General features: G+C 46.5%; 1 protein-coding gene and 1 pseudogene across 1 annotated transcript; one reads left to right on the top strand and one right to left on the bottom strand.

Annotated features, from left to right (window-relative positions):
* On the bottom strand, positions 105-7,892 carry LOC124904579 (UPF0764 protein C16orf89-like; the record flags this gene model as incomplete). Its single annotated transcript, XM_047439474.1, has 4 exons — positions 105-131; positions 393-476; positions 2,505-2,556; positions 7,816-7,892. Coding segments are annotated over 4 exons (240 nt in total), but the record flags the coding sequence as incomplete, so codon positions are not given.
* On the top strand, positions 12,460-13,509 carry SELENOWP1 (selenoprotein W pseudogene 1; annotated as a pseudogene).

Below are 22,923 nucleotides of genomic sequence, written 5' to 3'. Positions count from 1 at the left end.
AAAAAGAAAAAAAAAAAGGAAATGAAAATGGAGGTTGGTAAATAGTGAGAAATGCTATTATAATAAGCAAATACAATTCAGCCCAAATGTCTGATCCCAGGAGTTTAGAGTTTGCAAGCGTAACTACTTTGCTGTGAAACAAACCTCATGCAAACGCAGGACATGGCATTTGTATATATTTCTTTTGTTTGTTTTCCCCAGTCACCATTTTAAGTATATATTTATTTACATAGATTACTTCCCTTTCTTCTTTCAGAGGCACCAAACTGGGCCGGGTGTGGTGGCTCACGCCTGTAATCCCAGCACTTTGGGAGGCCGAGGCGGGCAGATCACGTCCGGAGATCAAGACCATGCTTGCTAACTCGGTGAAACCCCGTCTCTACTAAAAATACAAAAAAATTAGCCGGGCGTGGTGGCGGGCGCCCGTAATCCCAGCTACTCAGGAGGCTGAGGCAGGAGAATGGTGTGAACCCAGGAGGTGGAGCTTGCAGTGAGCCAGCCTGGGCGACACTCCAACCTGGGCAACAGAGCAAGACTCCTTCTCAAAAAAAAAAAAAAATTATCAAAGGCACCAAACTGGTAACAAGTTATTTCCAATACAACAGAATGATAAGTACAAAGAGTATACAAAAATTATATCCATATACAAAAATTAGCCAGGTGTGGTGGTGCACGCCTGTAGTCCCAGCTACTCCAGATATAGGAGAATTGCTTGACCTGGGAGGTGGAGTTTGCAGTGAGCCAAGATCGCACCACTGCACTCCAGCCTGGGTGACAGAATAAAGCTCTTTCTCAAAAAAAAAAAAAAAAAAAAATTAGCTGGGGCAAGCTGTGGCAGGTGCTACAGGGAAGGCGGAGGCACAAGAATCGCTTGAACCCGGGAGGCAGAGGTTGCAGTGAGCAGAGATCATGCCACTGTACTCCAGTCTGGAAGAGTGAGACTCCATCTCAAAATAAATAAATAAATAAATAAATAAATAAATAGAAATAAGAAAGAAAAAAATAAAACATAAGAACCAAGGAGAAAAACTCAGCAGATTGCCTAAATCACCAGAGTCTAGTTTTGTTTTCCTATTCTGTACTTCTCTCCTTTTCCCCCAGTGTTCTCCTCTTCTTCCTCTTCTCCTTCTTCTTCTTCTTCTTGCTCTTCCTCTTCTTCTTTTTTTTTTTTTTTTTTCGTTTTTGAGACGGAGTCTTGCTCTTGTCGCCCAGGCTGGAGTGCAATGGCACGATCTAGGCTCACTGCCTCCGTCTCCCAGGTTCAAGCGATTCTCCTGCCTCAGCCTCTCAATTAGTTGGGATTATGAGCGCCCGCCACCACACCTGGCTAATTTTTGTATTTTTAGTAGAGATGGGATTTCACCATGTTGGCCAGGCTGGTCTTGAATTCCTGACCTCATGATGTGCCTGCCTTGGCCTCCCAAAGTGCTGAGATTACAGGCGTAAGCCACTGCTCCTGGCCTTCTTTTTTTTTTTTTTTTTTTTTTTTTTGAGACAAGGTGTTGATCTGTTGCCCAGGCTGGAGTGCAATGGCATGATCTCAGCTCACTGCAACCTCCGCCTCCCAGGTTTAAGCAATTCTCCTGCCTCAGCCTCCCAAGTAGCTGGGATTACAGGTGCCCCTCACCATGCCTGGCTAATTTTTTGTATATTTAGTAGAGACGGGGTTTTGCCACTTTGGCCAGACTGGTCTCGAACTCCTGACCTCAGGTGATCAACTCCCCTCGGCCTCCCAAAATGTTGGGATTACAGGCGTGAGCCACTGCGCCCGGCCTGGTACAATTTTTTTAAGCATATAAGGTGCCACCATATTTGTGTAGCCAAGGCCAGGAGTGTGATTGCTTTGGAATTCTGACTGGGGCACGTGTGGTATAATCCCAGCACTTTGGGAGGCTGGGGTGGGAGAATCACTTGAGGCCAGGAGTTTGAGGATGCAGTGAGCTATGAACATGTCACTGCACTCCAGCCTCAGCAATAGAGTGAGATTCTGTCTCAAAAAGAAACATAAAACAAAAACCAAAAACCTAACCTTTGTTCTGAGAGCCTGCTTCTTTCAGTATTTCTATCACACCTCTTTTTTTTTTTTTTTTTTTTTTGAGACAGGGTCTCACTTTGTCGTCCAGACTGGAGTGCTGTGGTGCTTCCACAGTTCACCATAGCCTGGACCTCCTGGGTTCAAGCGATCCTCCCATCTCAGCCCCACAAATAGCTGGGACCACGGGCACGAGTCACCATGCCTGACTAATTTTTGTATTTTGTGTAGAGATGAGGTTTTGCCATGTTGCCTGGGCCAGTCTTCAACTCCTGAGCTCGAGCAATCCGCCTGCCTTGGTTTCCTAAAGTGCTGGGATTACAGGCGTGAGCCACCGCACTCAGCATCTTCTATCACACTTGATGGGGAATTAGAGGTTCACATTCCAGGCCTGGCCTGTCACCTGCACACAGCCCTCTGTTCCTACCATAGCAGATAGAAGATTCTTCCCACCCCATCCAGTGAATCACACTGGGAACTTCTTCAGGGTTCTGACGCCACATGGCAGTTCCTGTAGCCAAGGCCTGGTAGCCAATAGATGCTCCATAAATGGTGAATAGAAACATACATGGGCTGGCCGCGGTGGCTTATGCCTGTAATCACAGCACTTTGGGAGGTTGAGGCGGGTGGATCACCTGAGGTCGGGAGTTTGAGACCAGCCTGGCCAACATGGCAAAACCCCGTCTCTTCTAAAAATACAAAAAAAGTGTCCGGGCATGGTGGTGGGCACCCATAATCCCAGCTACTCAGGACACTGAGGCAAGAGAATCACTTGAACCCGGGAAGCGGAGGTTGCAGTGAGCCGAGATCCCGCCACTGCACTCTAGCCTGGGCAACAAGAACAAAACTCTGTCTCAAAAAGAAAAAAAAGAAAGAGAGAGAGAGAGAGAAACACATGAACAAGCCAGGCATGGTGGCTCACACCTATAATCCCAGAACTTTGGGAGGCCGAGGCCGGTGAACCACTTGAGGCCAGGAGTTAGAGACCAGCCTGGCCAACATGGCAAAGTCCTGTCTCTACTAAAAATACAAAAAAGAAAAAAAAGCAAACAGAGGGGCTGGGTGCGGTGGCTCACGCCTGTAACCCCAGCAGCTTGGGAGGCCAAGCTGGGCAGATCACCTGAGGTCAGGAGTTCGAGACCAGCCTGGCCAACATGGTAAAACCTCATCTCTATTAAAAATACAAAAAAAAACTGAGCAAGGTGGCGGGCACCTGTGATTCCAGCTATGAGGGAGGCTGAGGCAGAAGAACTGTTTGAACCTGGGAGGCGGAGGTTGCAGTAAGCTGAGATCTTGCCACTGCACTCCAGCCTGGGTGACAGAGAGAGACTGTCTCAAAAAAAAAAAAAAAAAGAAAAGAAAAGAAAGAAACATACACAAACAAGTGAACTGAGTGCTCAGTACATGCACTTGGCATTTATATATTATGTCTTCATCTATGCATATTATTATTTTTTCTTTTTCTTTCTTTTTTCTTTTTTAGATGGAGTCTCACTCTGTCTCCTAGGCTGGAGTGCAATGGTGCGATCTCGCTGCAACCTCCGCCTCCTGGGTTCAAGTGATTCTCCTGCCTCAGCCTCCTGAGTAGCTGGGATTACAGGCGCATGCCATCACACCCTGCTAATTTTTGTATTTTTAGTAGAGAAGGGGTTTCACCATTTTGGCCAGGCTGGTCTCGACTTCCTGACCTGAAGTGATCTGCCTGCCTCGGCCTAAATGCTAGGATTATAGGCATGAGCCACTGCACCTGGCCTATCTATGCATATTTTTCTAATTACAAAATAATACATGATTACTATATAAAATAGTTATGATTATAGAGGTCTATGAAAATGAGTTTCCCCTACAACCCTGCTTGGCAATAACCACTAAAAGCAATTTGGTTTTTTTGTTTTGTTTTGTTTTTTTTGAGACGGAGTCTCACTCTGTCGCCCAGGCTAGAGTACAGTGGTGTGATCTTGGCTCACTGCAACTTCTGTCTCCCGGGTTCAAGCGATTCTCCTGCCTCAGCCTCCTGAGTAGCTGGGATTACAGGTGCCCACCACCATGCCAGGCTAAATTTTGTATTTTTAGTAGACACAGGGTTTCGCCATGTTGGCCAAGCTGGTCTCGAACTCTTGACCTCGTGATCTGCCTGCCTCGGCCTCCCAAAGTGCTGGGATTATAGGCATGAGCCACCGTGCCCGGCCCCAGTACAATTTTTTTTTTAAGCATATAAGTTTCCACCATGTTTGTGCAGCCAGGACCAGGAGTGCGACTGCTTCAGAATTCTGACTGGGCCAGGTTTGGTGTAATCCTAGCACTTTGGGAGGCTGGGATGGGAGGATAGCTTGAGCCCAGGAGTTTGAGGCTGCAGTGAGCTATGAACATGCCACTGCACTCCAGCCTGGGTGACACAGTGAGACCCTTTCTATAACAATAATAATAATAAAGAATTCTGAATAGGTAAGACTATTGATGATGATGATGATGTTGGACTTGTGTTTACTGAGAGTACTAAGTCCCAGACTCTGTTCAGAGCACCTTACGTGCATTATCTCCTTTAATTCGAAGAGATTCTCTGAGACAGGTACAGGTAAGTGTGTGCTCCTCATAGGAGCAGTACAGCCTAGTGGTACCCGGTTGCCTGGTCTCAAATTTCAGGTATACATGCACAAGATATATGGCCTTAGTAACTTTTTTTTTTTTTTGAGACATGGTCTCACTCTCACTGGGGCTGGAGTGCAGTGGCACCATCATGGCTCCCTGCAGCCTCTACCTCCTGGGCTCAAGTGATCCTCATCCTCCTGTTCAGCCTCCCAAGTGGCTGGGACCACAGTCTCGTGCAACAGCCCAGCTAATTTTTCTACTTTTTGTAGAAATGGGGGTCTCACTATGTTGCCCAAGCTGGTCTTGAACTCCTGGGCTCAAGCGATACTCCAGGCTCAGCCTCAGCCTCCCAAAGTGCTGGGATTACAGGCATGAACCACTGCACCTGGCCCAGTAACATTCTTACCCTCTCTGTGCCTTAGGTTTCTCGGTAAAACAAAGATGATAATAACACCTCCCTCATAGGGTTGTGGCCCAAATGCAATGAATGAATGTGTACCAAGCATGTGACGTGCCTGGCATGATTTTACAGATGAGGACATGGAGGTGATCCAGCGTAGATTCAAAGCTGCATTCACTGGCCTGGTTCCCTAGCATGAGCGGTCAGTGCCTGCTCAGTCCTCCCAGGCATCCCTTTCTGGGGGACAGCCTGTTCCTGGGTCTCTGAGGCAGTATGGGGAGGTGGAGTCAGGGAAAGTTCACTTCTTGATCCTTCCTGTGTTTCCTCAGCTGTTGAGCACAACAGTGGCTTTCGTAATTAAACAGTAGACAGTCTTAGGAGAACTAGGAGCAAGCCCTTCCCACTCTAAAACCCTCAGAATTGCTTTGCTGGTTATAAAACGAATTTGTGCAACTCCCTGGGAAGGTCTCAGGGTCAGGTGTTTTGTGGGAGAATCATTTCCTGCTTGGCCTGAGGGAAGAGCTGCTTCTTCCTGCTGAGATTCAGGCCAGTGGAGGCAAGCCTGCATGCAGACGCCACAGCCCATCCCTGACCCTCCCACCCCCACCCGGGACTCTGTTGTGGGTAGTCAGGCAGAAAATGAAAGGGAAGGGGGCTCTGTTCACAAAGTTGCTGTGCAAATCATTTATTTATTTATTTATTTATTTATTTATTTATTTATTTATTTTAAAGTTCTTTTTTTTTTTTTTTTTTGATACAGGGTCTTGCTCTGGCACCAGGCTGGAGTGCAGTGGCATGATCTCAGCTCACTGCAACCTCCGCCTCCCAGGTTCAAGCAATTCTCCTGCCTCAGCCTCCCGAGTAGCTGGGATTACAGGTGTGCACCACCACACCCGGCTAATTTTTGTGTTTTTAATAGAGATGGGGTTTCATCACATTGGCCAGGCTGGTCTCAAACTCCTGTCCTCTCACCTCCACCTCCCAAAATGCTGCCTTTTTTCTTTTTTAGACAGTTTCGCTCTTGTTGCCCAGGCTGGAGTGCAATAGCGCAATCTCGGCTCACCTCCCGGGTTCAAGAGATTCTCCTGCCTCAGCCTCCCAAGTAGCTGGGATTACAGGCACCCGCCACCATGCCCAGCTAATTTTGTATTTTTAGTAGAGATGGGGTTTCTCCATGTTGGTCAGGCTGGTCTCGAACTCCTAACCTCAGGTTATCCGCCCACCTCGGCCTCCCAAAGTGCTGAGATTATAGGCGTGAGACACCGCTCCCTGCCTGGAAAAAAGTTTTAAAAGATGCTTATAGAAAAAGGACAAAAATTATTTCTTTTTTTTTTTTTTGAGACAGGGTCTCCCTCTGTCTCCCCAGCTGGAGTGCAGTGGCCTGATCTCAGCTCACTGCAGCCTGAACCTCCCAGGCTCAAGCAATTCTCCCACCTCAGCCTCCCAAGTAGAAACACATTTGGGATTACAGGCGCATGCCACCACACCTGGCTAATTTTAGAATCATTTCTTTAAAAAAAAAAAACAAAAAAACTGAGGTTTAAGAGGGAATGTGAGAAAAAGAGAGCTACTCCTCATCTGCACTCCCCCAACTCCTGAAGCCCCTTACTAGCAGACGGCGGGCTCCCAGGCCTGAGGGTAGGAGCCGGCTCTGGGAGTAACAGAGCAGAGGGCACTTGGCCAATGGCCCTGTTCCTATTCCTACCCAGAGGCCTTTGCACACCCTGACCTCTCCTGGACTAGGGCTCCTCCCCAGGTCAGGGGAAAAGGCCTCCTCTCTCCCCCTTCCTCCCTCTCTACCCCACCCCCTTCTTCCTACTTATCATTTTGGAGAGTCATTTAATTCCTGGGGTTTCTGTGTGTGCTGAGTCTGTGCGTGTGCTGGGAGAAAGGAGCCTGGCTTCTATCCAACTGAAAAGAAAGAGGAATAAACCACAAAACCAAAACACACACAAAGACAACTTGGAAGACAATATTTATTCTGATTTTGCTTTTGCTTTAATACGTAATATGTATACATGTTCCAGACAACACATTTGGGAACACAAAATAAAAATAAGGTTGCTTATGACCTCAGGAGCTAGCTAACCTTTGCTGACAATTTCTGTCTTCTCTTTGGGTTTCAGGACATGTGTTATGTTGGGGCTTTCTGCACCCTCTGGCTGGGGAAGAGACCTCATCTGTCACCTCACATCTTCATTCTCTCCCCACTCTAGGATTTAGAGGGTGTAGTCAAGGGGGAAGACCTGGGACAGGTTAAACCAGAGGGGTGGCTGGTGCAGAGGACTGGGCAGGGACTGTGACTTTGTCCCTCAGCTGCTGTGGGAAAGGACTTCGTGAACAATGAGTTGACCAGAGAGTCGGGCTTCATCCTACTGCCCAGAGAGGCCACCTTGACTCAGCAGAAAGGTCCCCGGGGAGACAGCATAGTTCCCCAATTTCCTTTATATTTTTTATCTTTTTCCTTTTTTTTCTGAAACATGGTCTTGCTCTGTCACCCAGGCTGGAGTATAGTGGCACAATCATGGCTCACTGCAGCCTCAACTTCCGAGGCTCAAGCAATCCTCCTGCCTCAGCCTCCCAAGTAGCTAGGACTAGAGGTATGTGCCACTATATCCGGCTAATTTTTATTATCTGGGCCAGGTGCGGTGGCTCACGCCTGTAATCCCAGCACTTTGGGAGGCCGAGGCAGGTGGATCATGAGGTCAGGAGTTTGAGACCAGTCTGGCCAACATAGTAAATCCCTGTGTCTACTAAAAATGCAAAAAAAATTAGCCGGATGTCGGGAGGCAACGCTTGCAGTGAGCCGAGATCGTGCCACTGGACTCCAGCCTGGGCGACAGAGTGAGACTCTGTCTTAAAAAAAAAAAAAAAAAAATTAGCCAGGTGTGGTGGTGTGCACCTGTAATCCCAGCTACTCAGGAGGCTGAGGCAGGAGAATCACTTGAACCCGGGAGGCAGAGTTTGCAGTGAGCTGAGATCATGCCATTGCACTCCAGCCCAGGCAACAGTGCAAGAATCCGTCTCAAAAAAAAAATTATCTGTAGAGTCAGGGGACTCCCTATTGCTGCCCAGGCTGGTCTCGAACTCCTAGGCTCAAGTGATCTGCCCACCTGGGCCTCCTGAAGTGCTAGGATTACAGGCGTGAGGCACCAGGCCTGGCCTTCATACCTTTTAAAATGTATTCATTCACTCACTCATTAAACATTAACTGCTGTCCACCCTGGGCAGGCTCTGGGGCCTCTCAGGTGGAGAAGTTGCCAACTGGGCCCTCCAACAGCCTGCTTCTGACCTGGGGAAAGTAAGATACAAGAAATGTGCCCAAGGAAAGCAGGGGAAGGGAGGAGGAAAAAGGGAGAGAAAGGAAGGGCGTGTAGCAGTATTCCCCGCATGAGTGAACAATTTGTAAAAGAATATTACATATTACAACAGCATTTTTCTTTGGAAAATGCAAAACAAAACTCTAACTTTGTTCTTAATGCAGACTATGGAAAGTAAATTGTGAGGAAATCTTGGCCCTTGGGGGTTTATCATGGGTCCCTTCAGTTAAGCCTGTGGGGAAGGCAGGGAGTAGGGCAGGCCTTGCCACTCTCCAGAGGCCTCTCAGTAGAACGTGACCTATTTCTATTTACCAGAATGGCAAGGGCAGGGGTGCAGGAATGGGAAGAGGACATACCTGATTGGAGAGCCAAGAATTTGGGTCCTGAGAGTCAAAGGGAGAGGTTGGCAAATTCAGGAACACATAGCTGCGTGTAGTGGCTCTCTCCTATAATCCCAGCATTTTGTGAGGCCAAGGCAGGAGGATCACTTAAGCCTTGGAGTTCAAGACCAGCCTGGGGAACAAAGTGAGATCCAGTCTCTACAAAAAATAAAAAAATTGGCTGGCACAGTGGCTCACACCTGTAATCCCAGTACTTTGGGAGGCTGAGGAGGGCGGATCACCTGAGGTCAGGAGTTCGAGACCAGCCTGACCAACATGGAGAAACTTCATCTCTACTAAAAATACAAAATTAGCTGGGCGTGGTGGAGCGTGCCTGTAATCCTAGCTACTCGGGAGGCTGAGGCAGGAGAATCGCTTGAACCTGGGAGGCGGAGGTTGCAGTGAGCCGAGATCGCACCATTGCACTCCAGCCTGGGCAACAAGAACGAAACTCCATCTCAAAAAATAAAAAAAAAAATTGTCTGGGCACTGTGGCGTGTGCCTGGTCCCAGCTACGTGGGAGACTGAGGTGGGAGGATCAAGGTGGGAGTTCAAGGTTGCAGTGAACTATGATCCAGCCTCTGTCACACAGGCTGGAGAGCATGGCCACCATGTTGGCCAGGCTGGTCTCGAACTCCTGGCCTCAACTGGTCTGCCTACTTCGGCCTCCCAAAGGCTTTGTAGGCCATATGGTCATGGTGGTACCTACTCAACTCAGCTGTGGGGCACAAAAGGAGCCACAGGCACTACTTAATCAACTGGGTCTGACTGTGTTCCAACAAAACTTTATTTATGGACACTGAAATTTGAATTTCATATCATTTGCAGAAAAATGTCAAGAAATAGTACTCTTAAAGTTTTTTCCCCACCTTTAAAAATGTTACAATCATTCTTGGCTTGCAGGGGTCCTACAAAAACAGGGAGTCAGGTGGTAATGACGTGTCAATGTAGATTCATCAGTTGTCACAAATGTACCACTCTGATGGGGGATATATTGAAAACGGAGGAGGCTATTCATGTATAGGGGTAGGAAGTATACAGGAAATATGGTATCTTCTGCTCAATTTTGCCACAAACCTAAAACTGATCTTAAAAAATAAAGCCTGTCTTCCAGGTGCGGTAGTTCACGCCTGTAATCCCAGCACTTGGGAGGCCAAGGTTGGGGGGGGGATCACCTGAGGTCAGGAGTTTGAGACCAGCCTGGCCAACATGGTGAAACCCCATCTCTATTAAAAAAAAAATACAAAATTAGTCAGGCACGGTGGCATACGCCTGTAATCCCAGCTACTCAGGAGGCTGAGGCAAGAGAATTGCTTGAACCCAGGAGGCAGAGGTTGCAGTGAGCCGAGATTGCACCATTGCACTCCAGCCTGGGCAACGAGAGCAATACTCCATCTCAAAAAATAAATAGGCCGGGCATGGTGGCTCATGCCTGTAATCCCGGCACTTTGAGAGGCCGAGGCGGGCAGACCACTTGAGGTCAGGAGTTCAGGACCAGCCTGGCCAACATGGTGAAAACCCGTCTCTACTAAAAATACAAAAATTAGCCGGGCGCTTGAACCCAGGAGGCAGAGACTGCAGTGAGCCGAGATCATGCCACTGCACCCCAACCTGGGCGACAGAGTGAGACTCCATCTCAATAAATAAATAAATAAATAAATAAAGCCTATTAAAAAAAGAAGAAGAAAGAAAGAAAAGAAAACAGGAAGCAAGCTGAGAATTTAGCTTGTGGCCTGTACTTGCTGATCCCTGTTTTAGAGAATTACAAAAAGTTGCTCCATCCTCCAGTAAGACATTATATAAGTTAGTTTATTATTTCTGGGGAATAACAATTATAAGACTGGGCATACCTGGGCATAGAACTGGCTCACATCTATAATCCCAACATTTTGGAAGGGTGAGGCAGGAGGATCACTTGAGGCCAGGAGTTCCAGACCAGCCTCAGCAACATAGTAAGAGCTCTACAAAAAAATTTTTTTAAAGAATAACAATTATGACAAGCATTAAATCATTCTGTAAAAATTATACAAATCAAATATTGAATATAAGGTAATAGAAAATTATCATTGTTGCAAATATGTTGTAATTATTCAATGGTTCTCATATTAGATTCTAGAAAATAACAAGATTTTTGGCATCCTGGGCAATCAAGATTTTGAGACCAGCCTGGCCAATATGGCAAGACCACATATCTACAGTTTTTTTTGTTTTTTTTTTTAAGATGGAGTCTCACTCTGTTGCCCAGGCTGGAGTGCAATGGCGCCATCTTGGCTCGCTGCAACCTCCGACTCCTGGGTTCAAACAATTCTCCTGCCTCAGCCTCCTGAGTAGCTGAGACTACATGCGTGTGCCACCATGCCCAGCTAAGTTTTTGTATTTTTAGTAGAGATGGGGTTTCACCGTGTTAGCCAGGATGGTCTCGATCTCCTGACCTCGTGATCTGCCCATCTCGGCCTCCCAAAGTGCTGTGATTACAGGCATGAGCCACCGCGCCCGGCCCAAAAAGATTTTTAAAAATCACCCTGCGTGGTGGCACATGCTTGTAGTCCTAGGTACTGGGGAGGCTGGAACAGGAAGATTGCTTTAGTCCAGGAGTTCAAGGCTGCAGTGAGCCATGATCAGACCACTGCACACCAGCCTGGGCAATTAAGCAAAACTCCATCTCTTATTAATAAAAAAAAAGGCGGCCGGGCACAGTGGCTCATGCCTGTAATCCCAGCACTTTGGGAGGCCAAGGCAGGAGGATCACAAGGTCAGGAGATTGAGACCATCCTGGCTAACACGGTGAAACCCCGTGTCAACTAAAAATACAAAAAAATTAGCTGGGCGTGGTGGCGGACGCCTGTAGTCCCAATCTACTCAGAAGGCTGAGGCAGGAGAATGTTGTGAACCCGGGAGAAAGAGCTTGCAGTGAGCTGAGATTGTGCCACTGCACTCCAGCCTGGGTGACAGAGCAAGACTCCGTCTCAAAAATAAATAAATACAAAAATACCTAAAATAAAAAAAGACCGGGCACAGAGGCTCATGCCTGTAATCCAGCACTTTGAGAGACTGGGGCAGGAGGATTGTTTGAGCCCAAGAGTTCGAGACTAGCCTGGGCAACATAGGGAGAACCTGTCACTACACAAAGTAACACGATTAGCTAGATGTGGTGATCCTTGCCTGTGTACCCAGCTACTGGGGAGGCTGAGGTGGGAGGATCACTTGAGCCTGGGAGGGAAAGCCTCGGTGCGCTGTGATCGCACTCCAGCACTCCAGCCTAGGTAAGAGAGTGAGACCCTGCCTCAAAATACATACATACATACATACATACAAACTAAAAAGAAAAAGATTCTTATCTGAGATAGATAATTTTAACTACAGTTGCTGTTTAATATGCAAAATTATGTGGCCAAGTAGATATATAGTCAAAAAGTAATTTGGTTTAATGAATTCTTTGTCACTGTTTTTTCCTAGTTTTTCTCAAAATCCATCAGTTACAGAGTGTGGAAGTTGTAGGTAAATTCACATCCTGCTCCATCTGCAATGTATTAATGCCATGTTTTGCTAAAACTAGTATCTAAAGTATTTCCTTTTCTTCTGGCAGTGCATCTAATTTCTCCTGAAATCTGGTGATGTAGATGAGTCATTTAGTGTAGCTGGTGGAAACAAATGCTTAAGACAGTGCCTAGATTATAGTAAGCAACTGTATGCATATATTTTAAATGAATAAAATTCCTTTTTAAATAAATTTGTGGTGCAGACCTCATGCGTCCAGGCAGGAGGTCTCTGTGACCCAGGTCTCTGCTCCCCAGCGAGGGTGGCAGCCCAGAGCCATGGCTCTCGCGAGTGGTTTATGTGGCACTTGAGGCTACAAGTCCAAGTATCTTCAGCTCAAGAAGAAGTTAGAAGATGAGTTCCCCCGGCCGGCACAGTGGCTCACGCATGTAATCCCAGCACTTTGGAAGGCCAAGGTGGGCAGACCATGAGGTCAGGAGTTCGAGACCATGTTGGCCAACATAATGAAACACCGTTTGTATTAAAAATACAAAAAAAATTAGCCTGGCACGGTGGCGGGCGCCTGTAGTCCCAGCTACTTGGGAGGCTGAGGCAGGAGAATCACTTGAACCCAGGAGGTCGAGGTTGTAGTGAGCCGAGATCGCACCACTGCACTCCAGCCTGGGCAGCAGAGTGAGACTCCATCTCAAAGAAAAAAAAAGAAAAAGAAGATGAGTTCCTCTGGACTTTGGACATCTGCAGCAAGGGAACTCCCCAGGCCACCGGGTTCTTTGACGTAATGGTAGCTGGGAAGTTGATTCACTCTAAGAAGAAAGGTGATGGCTATGTGGACACAGAAAACAAGTTTCTGAAGCTGGTGGCTGCCATCAAAGCTGCCTTGGCTCAGGGCTAATGTGCCCTGAAGGCAGAGTCCAGGGACCTTGACCCAGCTCCTCTCAGCAGATGCTTCATGACAGGAAGAACTGAAATGTCTCATGGACGCCTGGTCTTCCCCTGTTCTCGCAGCTGCTGTTGGGGGCAGAGGTTGACACCCCTGGTCTTTACCTCTGTGTGGTAGAGTCTGTTTGTATGTGTCTTCCCCGGAATCCACACCGCCCTACCTGTTCCCCGATTTCATCATATCTCTATGCATACCCCATGTCTCCCCAGTTGTCTCCCAGAGTTTGGGGGATGTCCCGCCTCAGGCTTCCTTCTCAAAGGGAAGCCAGGAGAGGCAACAGGATGGGTGAGTCTCTGATTGCAGCAACGTTTGCAACCATTCACAATTCAACAAATATTGGACGAATTTAACCGAAAAAAAAAAAAAAAGAAATTTGCCCTGCTGTCTAGAGAAAAATAAGTTTCTTGCATTTATTTATGTATTTATGTATGTATGCATTTATTTATTTTTGAGACAGGGTTTACTCTGTCACCCAGGCAGGAGTGTAGTGGCACCATCTGGGCTCACTGCAACCTCTGCCTCGCTGGCTCAAGTGATCCATTCCTACCTCACCCTCTTGAGTACCTGGGACCACAGAGGAATGCCCCCACACCCCACTAATTTTCTTCTCCTTCTTTTTTCTTTTTTTTTTTTTGGTAGAGATGGGTTTTTGCCGTGTTGCCCAGGCTGGTCTCAAACCCCTGAACTCAAGCAATCCATCCACCTCAGCCTCCCAAGGTGCTGGGATTACAGGTGTGAGCCACCGTTCCTGGCCCATGTTTTTACACAGTAGAGATGGAGTCTTGCTATGTTGCTCAAGCTGGTCTCAAACACCTGGCCTCCGGCAATCCTCCTGCCTCAGCCTCTCAAAGTGCTAGGATTACAGGTGTGAGCCACTATGTCCGGCCAATAAAATTTTTTTAACAGGCTTTTTTTTTTTTTCCTGGATCTCATGATTTAAAATTTTTTTGTTGTTGTTGGGCACTGTAGCTCATACCTGTAATCCCAGCACTTTGGAATGCCAAAGGAGGGAGGATCGCTTGAAGGCAGGACCTTAAGATCAGCCAGGGTAACACAGCAAGACCTCATCTCTACGCAAGAAAAAAATTTTAAATTAGCCAAGTGTGGTGGCATGTGCTTGTAGTCCTTGCTACTCAGGGTGCTGAGGCTAGAGGATTGCCTGAGCCCAGGAGTTTGAGGCTGTGATAAGCGATGACTGCACCACTCTACTCCAGCCTGGGAGACATGGCAAGACTGCCTCCAAAGAAAAAAAAAAGTTTTAAATGGAAAACAAATTAAGTAAACATTTTTTTCTGATGTCTGGGGAGAAATTATTTCGTGATTTAGGATTTTATTATTTACAACAGTCTAAAATAATATCAGTGTCCTCACACCCATTAGGATGGCTACTTTCAAAAAACAGAAAATAAGTGTTGGTGAGGATGTGGTGAAAGTGGAACCTTGGTGCACTTTTGATGAAAATGTAAAATGGTGCAGCTGCTGTGGAAAACAGTATGATGGTTCCTCAAAAAAATTAAAAATAGATGTTTAGGCCGGGCGCGGTAGCTCACGCCTGTAATCCCAGCACTTTGAGAGGCCGATGCAGGCGAATTTACGAGGTCAGGAGACCGAGACCATCCTGGCTAACATGGTGAAACCCCGTCTCTACTAAAAATACAAAAAATTAGCCGGGCATGGTGGCAGGCGCCTGTAGTCCCAGCCACTCGGGAGGCTGAGGCAGGAGAATGGCATGAACCCAGGAGGCAGAGCTTGCAGTGAGCCGAGATCAAGCCACTGCACTCCAGCCTGGGCGACAGAGCAAGACTCTGTCTAAACAAACAAAAAAAAAAAATAGAAGTTTAACTCTATAATTCAGCAATTCCACTTCTAGGTATATACCCAGAAGAATTGAAAGCAGAGTCTCCAATATATATTTGTATTCCCATGTTCATAGTAGCATTATTCGAAATAGCTAACATATGGAAACAATCCAAGTGTCCATCTAGAGATGAATGAACAAGCAAAATGTGATAGATACACACAATGAACTACTATGATTTGGGCTTAAAAAGGAAGGAGATTTTGTAGTATGCTACAACACGTATGAAACTTTAGGACATTATGCTAAATGAAATAAGCCAATCACAAAACAACAAATACTATATGACTCTACTTATATAAGATAATTATAATAGTCAAAATTATAGAGACAGAAAGTAGAATGGTGGTTGCCAGGGACTGGAGGGAGGGATAAATGAGGAATAATTGTTTAACTGGTAGAGAGTTTCAGTTCTACAAGAGAAAATAAGATGTATGGTGGTGATGGTTGAACACTATAAATGTATTCAGTGCAATTGAACTGTACACTTAGCAATAGTTCACTTCATCAATTTTATTTTATGTTCTGTTTTTTGTTTTTTAGAGACAGTGTCTCATTCTGTCACCCACACTGGAGTGCAGTGATGTGACTGTAGCTCACTGGAGCCTTGACCTCCTGGGCTCAAATGATCCTCCCATCTCAGCCTCCCAAGCAAGCACCAAGGGCTTGGTGTGGTGGCTCACCCCTGTAATCCCAGCACTTTGGAAGGCCAAGGCTGGCAGATCACTTGAGGTCAGGAGTTCAAGACCAGCCTGGCCAATATGGCCAAACCCTGTCTCTACTAGAAATACAAAAAAATTAGCTGGGCATAGTAGCGCGCACGCCTGTAGTCCCAGCTACTCGGGAGGCTGAAGCAGGAGAATCGCTTGAATCCAGGAGGCAGAGATTGCAGTGAGCCAGGATTGGGCCACTCACTCCAGCCTGGGTGACAGAGCGAGACTCCATCTCAAAGCAAACAAACAAACAAGCAGAAAAACCAAGTAGCACCAAGCAGGCGTGAGCCACCATGCCTGGCTAATTTTTTATTTATTTATTTATTTATTTTTAAGAGATGGGGTCTTGCTATGTTATCCAGGCTGGTTTCAAACTCCTGGGCTCAAGCAGTCTTCCCACCTCAGCCTCCCAAAGTGCTGGGATTACAGGGATTAGCCACCATGCCCAGCTCATGCATTTTATTTTATTTTATTTATTTATTTATTTTTTGAGACAGAATCTTGTTCTGTTGCCCAGCCTGGAGTGCAATGGCGCAATCTCAGCTCACCACACCCTCTGACTTCCAGGTTCAAGTGATTCTCGTGCCTCAGCCTCCCAAGTAGCTGGGATTACAGGCATGCACCACCACACTCAGCTAATTTTTGTATTTTTAGTAGAGACAGCGTTTCACCATGTTGGCCAGGCTAGTCTCAAATTCCTGGCCTCATGTGATTCGCCTGACTTGGCCTCCCAAAGTGCTTGGCTTACAGGTGTGAGCCACCATGCCCAGCCCACGTATTTTAACATAATAAAAAAATAGGAAGAAATCATGTCAATGTTATATGCTAATAAACTTTAGCAGTACTTAATATTTGTAGTAATAAAGTTTCCTTCTTTTTTTTTTTTTTTTAGACCGAGTCTCTTTGTCACCCAGGCTGAAATACAGTGGCACAATGTTGGCTGACTATAACCTCCACCTCCTGGGTTCAAGCGATTCTCCTATCTCAGCTTCCCGAGTAGCTGGGATTACAGGTGTGTGCCACTACACCCGACTGATTTTTGTATTTTTAGTAGAGACAGGGTTTTGCCATGTTGGCCAGGCTGATCTTGAACTTCTGGCCTTGGCCTCCCAAAGTGCTGGGATTACAGGCGTGAGCCACCTCGCTGGTCATAGAGTTTCTATAATAATAAACAGTTGACATGATACAATTAGCAGGTCCTTGCATAGTAATTGTGAAGTTATGTCTGTGTAACTCTCATTTTGTAGATTCTTTTAAATTACATATTTATTTATTTATATTTTGAGACAGAGTCTCACTCTGTCACCCAGGCTGGAGTGCAATGGTACGATCTCGGCTCACTTCAACTTCTGCCTCCCAGATTGAAGCAATTCTCCTGCCTCAGCCTCCTGAGTAGCTGGGATTACAGGTGCCTCCTAGCATGCCCAGCTTATTTTTGTATTTTTACTAGAGATGAGATTTCACCATGTTGGCCAAGCTGGTCTCAAACTTCTGACTTGAAGTGAACCATTTGCCTTGGCCTCCCAAAGTGCTGGGATTACTGGTGTGAGCCACCATGCCTCACCTTTTAAAAATGTTATTTTATTCATTTTATTTTATTATTCTATCCTTATCCCATGACCATTGCTTCCAGGAGGGGATGGAAAGAGAGGTGTGGGCTACAGGGAGAGCCTGAAATGACTCCCTGCAAGGAGTACCCCCAATCATTCTACAGAGTGGCTTCTTTCTACTCTCGTTTTCTCTGTCTCCTGAAGTACGGGACCCTATTGGCAGTCTTGTTTTTTCCCAAGTTCACACTGTCTGGGCTTCCTGAAATGCAGTACTATCTTGTTTCATCTATTCCCTTCCTCAAAGCTTTTTTTTATTGGTTCTTTTTCCTATCTTCCTCAACACTGCTACAATGTATCTTTGAATAGCTTCTCTAGTCTGTCTTCTTCTACGATCTCATTATTCATCCATTCAATAAGGATACCAGAGGGTTTTTTTTTTTTTTTTTTTTTGAGACAAAGTCTCGCTCTGTAGCCCAGGCTGGAGTGCGGTGGTGCGATCTCGGCTCACTGCAACCTCTGCCTCCCAGGTCCCAGTTCAAGCAATTCTCCTGCCTCAGCCTCCCGAGTCGCTGGGATTACAGGCACGCGCCACCATGCCCAGCTAATTTTTATATTTTTAGTAGAGACGGGGTTTCACCATGTTGGCCAGGCTGGTCTTGAACTCCTGACCTCGTGATCTGCCCGCCTTGACCTCCCAAAGTGCTGGGATTACAGGCGTGAGCCACTGCGCCCAGCGTAGATACCAGAGATTTAAAGATGGACCACTCACAGCCCCTGGCCCCTGGCCCCTGGCCCCTGGCCCCTGGCCTAATGGAAGACATAGAAAGGTTAACTTACTATGTTTCAGACCCTATTCTAAATGCTTTGTATGGATTAGCTTATTTAATCCTTACCACACTCAGTGGTGACTTGGAGGAAGGAATGTAGGTAAAGGAAATACAATACCTGAGATTTCTGGGATCACTGGGTGAGAGAGAGAAGTCAAATATAATTTTCTTGGCAACTGGGTGAATGCTGGTGTCACTCACAGACATGGGGATTAATAGTAGGTTTGGCGGCCAGGTGCGGTGGCTCACGTCTGTAATCCCAGAACTTTGGGAGGCCGAGGCAGTTGGATCACCTGAGGTCAAGAGTTCAAGACCAGCCTGGCCAACATGGCAAAACCCAATCTCTACCAAAAATGCAAAAATTAGCTGGGCATGGTGGCGCCTGCCTGTTGTCCTGGCTACTTGGGCAGCTGAAGCAGAAGAATCACTTGAATCCCGGAGGCAGAGGTTGCAGTGAGCCGAGATCATGCCATTGCACTCCAGCTGGGGCAATAGAGCGAGACTCCGTCTCAAAACAACAAACAAACAAACAAACAAAAATATCAGTACACTTGGAGAGGAGGCAAAGATATGTGAATGTTTAGATATGTTGGATTTTCGCTATCTGTTGGATATTCATGTGTGGAAAAGTCTAATAAGCAGTTGATGGCTGTGGGAGCCGGGATCTGGGCAGAGAAGTCTGTACTAGAGATTTAAATTTGAGCACAATTAGTACATGAATTTGAGCACATGGAATCTTTTTCATGGATGAAAAAGAAAAGAATCCAGGATAAAAACACAAATAACAGCAACATATAAGATGCAGACTAAGGGCCTGGTACCGTGGCTCACGCCTGTAATCCCAGAACTTTGGGAGGCCGAGGCAGGCAGATCACGAAATCAGGAGTTCAAGACCAGCCTGACCAACATGGTGTAACCCTGTCTCTACTAAAAATACAAAAATTAGCCGGACATGGTGGCAAGGGCCTGTAATCCCAGCTACTCAGGAAACTGAGGCAGGAGAATCGCCTCAACCCGGGAGGCAGAGATCGCAGTGAGCTGAGATTGTACCACTGCATTCCAGCCTGGGTGACAGAGCGAGACACCATCTCAAAAAAAAAAAACAAACAAAAAAACAAATGCAAACTAAGGCTGGGCACCGTGGCTCACGGCAGATTGCTTGAGCTCAGACATTCAAGACCAGACCAAGCAACATAGCAAGATCCTGTCTATACAAAAAATACAAAAATTAACTGAGTGTGGTGGCGCGTGCCTGTGGTCCCAGCTACTTAGAAGGCTGAGGTGGAAGGATTGTTTGAATCCGGGAGGCAGAGATTGCACTGAGCCGAGATTACGCCACTGCTCTCCAGCCTGGGCCACAGTGTTAAGACCCTGTCTCAAAAACAAACAAACAAACAAACAAAAAACCAAAAAACCAAAAAACCAAACCGTTTGTATGCCAGCAACTTCCAAAGGTACATTTCTAGCCCAGATCTTTTCCCTAAACTCCAGACTTACTTATTCTACCCAACAACACTGCTTGAACTGCTTGAATGTTGAATAAATAGCTCAAATTTAAAATGTTCAGAACTGAACTCCCAATCTCACCTGCACCCCTCCCCTCCCCTAAAACCTGCTCTGATCATAGCCTTTCCCAACAAAATTCAGAACAACTTTCTTTTTTTTTTTTGAGATGGAGTCTCACTTTGTCACCCAGGCTGGAGTGTAGTGATGCAATCTTGGCTCACTGCAACCTCTCCCGGGTTTAAGTGATTCTCCTGCCTCAGTCTCCCAAGTAGCTGAGACTACAGGTGCCCGTCACCATGCCCAGCTAACTTTTGTATTTGTAGTAGAGATGGGGTTTCACCATATTGGCCAGGGTGGTCTCAAACTCCTGACCTTGTGATCTGCCTGCCTCCGCCTCCCATAGTGCTGGGATTACAGGTGTGAGCTACCTTGCCCAGCCCTCAGTAAAACTTTCTAGTACTCTAGTCCTCAAATCCTTAAGTCATCTTAGGGCACACCAAGGTTGATGGAAATGAGCAGTAGGAGTGGTCTGCTAAGGTGGGGAGAAATTTTTTTTTTTTTTTTTTTTTAGATGGCGTTGCGCTCAGTTGCCTGGGCTAGAGTACAATGGTGTGATCTCAGCTCACCGCAACCTCTGCCTCCTGGGTTCAAGTGATTCTCCTGCCTCAGCCTCTTGAGTAGCTGGGATTACAGGCATGCACCACCATGCCCGGATAATTTTGTATTTTTAGGAGAGATGGAGTTTCTCCATGTTAGTCAGGCTGGTCTCGAACTCCCAACCTCAGGCGATCCACCTGCCTCGGCCTCCCAAAGTGCTGGGATTACAGGCATGAGCCACCGCGCCTGGCCGAGAAATATTTTATAACTTTTAGACATTGTTTAAAATTGCTAGTACATGATGATATTGAATAGCAGAGTAACATTTAGTCTATTTTAGAATTATTTACTGACAATGCACATCTTTATTTCTTGTTGCCTAAACCCAGTGAAGACCACCTTATCACCACAACTAACTCCCTTGGTGTATTATTGTCTTTGATTCCTTTATTTGCTTTTTTTATTTTTCTTTTTATCTTTTGAGACCAAGTCTCACTCTGTCACCCAGGTTGGAATGCAGTGGCATGATCTTGGCTCACTGCAACCTCCACCTCCCGGGTTCAAGCGATTCTCCTGCCTCAGTCTCCCAAGTAGCCAGGATTACAGGCACCTGCCACCACGCCTGGCTAATTTTTGTATTTCTAGTAGAGATGGGGTTTCAGAATGTTGGCCAGGCTGGTCTCGAACTCCTGACCTCAGGTGGTCCACCCAGCTGGGCATCTTCTGGGATTACAGGCGTGAGCCACCACACCTGGTCTGATTCCTTTATTTTCTTTTACCTTCTCCATGACTCCTTCATTTAGGAAATCTTATTTACTCTACCTTCAAAAATATCCAGAATCCAGACTCTTCTTACCAGTCCCACTCATACCACTTTTGTCTGAGCTGTCATTATCTTTTTTCCAGGTTTACTGTAAATAGCCTCTAAACAGGTCTCTGTGCTTCTACCTCGGCCTGCCACAGTCTATTCCTGATGCAACATACAGAGTGATTTTTGAGAAACCTAAGTCAGACTGCATCACGCAGCCCTGATCAATATCTTGGCTAGCTAGCCTTGCAGTGGCCCCAGAGGCCTGACCTCCTATCCTACTCTTCCTTCTCACTCCCTAGTTCTTTCTGCTCCCACCATTTCCATCGCCTTCCCCCGCCACCACTGCCCTCAAAGACAATCATTTAACATATGTATACTCTTGGAATTGTAATTAAGTATATTGCAAATTAAAATAATACATATATTTTTTGAAACAGAGTATCACTCTGCTGCCCAGGCTGGAGTGCAGTGGCACAATCATAGCTCACTGCAGCATTAAATTGCTAGGCTCAAGTGACCTTCCTGTCTCAGCCTCCCCAGCAGCTAGGACTATAGGAGTATACCACCACACTGGCTAATTTTTGTGTGTGTGTATATATACATATTTTTTTATTTTTTTATTTTTTATTTTTTTTGAGACGAAGTTTTGCTCTTGTTGCTCAGGCTGGAGTACAAATGCATGATCTGATCTCGGCTCACTGCAACCTCTGCCTCTTGGGTTCAAGTGATTCTCCCGCCTCAGCCTCCCAAGTACCTGGGTTTACAGGCATGTGCCACCATGCCTGGCTAATTTTGTAGTTTTAGTAGAGACGGGATTTCACCATGTTGGTCAGGCTGTTCTTGAATTCTTGACCCCAAGTGATCCGCCTGCCTTGGCCTCCCAAAGTGCTGGAATCACAGGCATGAACCACCACACCCAGCCCCTAATTTTTGTATTTTTTGTAGAGATGAGGTCTCACTGTGTTGCCCAAGCTGGTCTTGAACTCCTGGACTCAAGTGATCCTCCCACCTTGGCCTCCCAAAGTGTTGGGATTACAGGTGTGAGCCATTGTGGCTGGCCAACAAATTATAAATTTAGAAAGCAGAGCTTTACTTTTTACATGGGTTACAGCCCGTAAGGGGGCCTTTCTGATAGACTGGGAAGTGTGGCCTCCAGTACAGACTGAAAGGCAGGCACTTTGAGCAAGTGGAGAGTGGAACAGGGATTTATGTTGAACAGGTTGGTCATGTATGCATATTCAACAGGTTATAGGAGGAGCTATGAATTTTTTTTTTTTTTTGAGACAGAGTCTTGCTCTGTTGCCCAGGCTGGAGTCCAGTGGCGTGATCTCGGCTCACTGCAAGCTCTGCCTCCCGGGTTCACGCCATTCTCCTGCCTCAGCCTCCCGAGTAGCTGGGACTACAGGCGCCTGCCATGGCGCCCAGCTAATTTTTTGTATTTTTAGTAGAGACGGGGTTTCACCATGTTAGCCAAGATGGTCTCAATCTCCTGACCTCGTGATCTGCCCGCCTCAGCCTCCCAAAGCGCTGGGATTACAGGTGTGAGTCACCGCGCCCGGCCTAGGAGGAGCTATGAATATTTATGAAGGGAGTCCTGATACATGTATATTAAATAAACATGCATGTTACATACATCTCATGTTTACTTTAGAGTGAAGACTTAACATTTAAATACATTACAATCTGGCCCTATATGACATAGGGTAAAACAGGGACACGAAGGCACTCAAAGTGCACAGCCTCTGTAAACCACCAGAGCCACTCCACGGTTGGTGGTCTCTTATCAAGAGAAAGTCACTGAACTAGCCCAGTTAAAGCTGTAGTTACGGTTTGTGGTACGGGGGGTGGGGAGGGGGGGTCAGTTTGTCAGCGTCTGGTGTTGGATGAGTTGTAATTGTTTTA

Source organism: Homo sapiens, chromosome 1, assembly GCF_000001405.40.
Source record: "Homo sapiens chromosome 1, GRCh38.p14 Primary Assembly".
NCBI classification, from domain to species: domain Eukaryota; kingdom Metazoa; phylum Chordata; class Mammalia; order Primates; family Hominidae; genus Homo; species Homo sapiens.
Note: the sequence above shows the minus strand (reverse complement) of the source record. Positions and strands in the feature narration are given on the sequence as shown.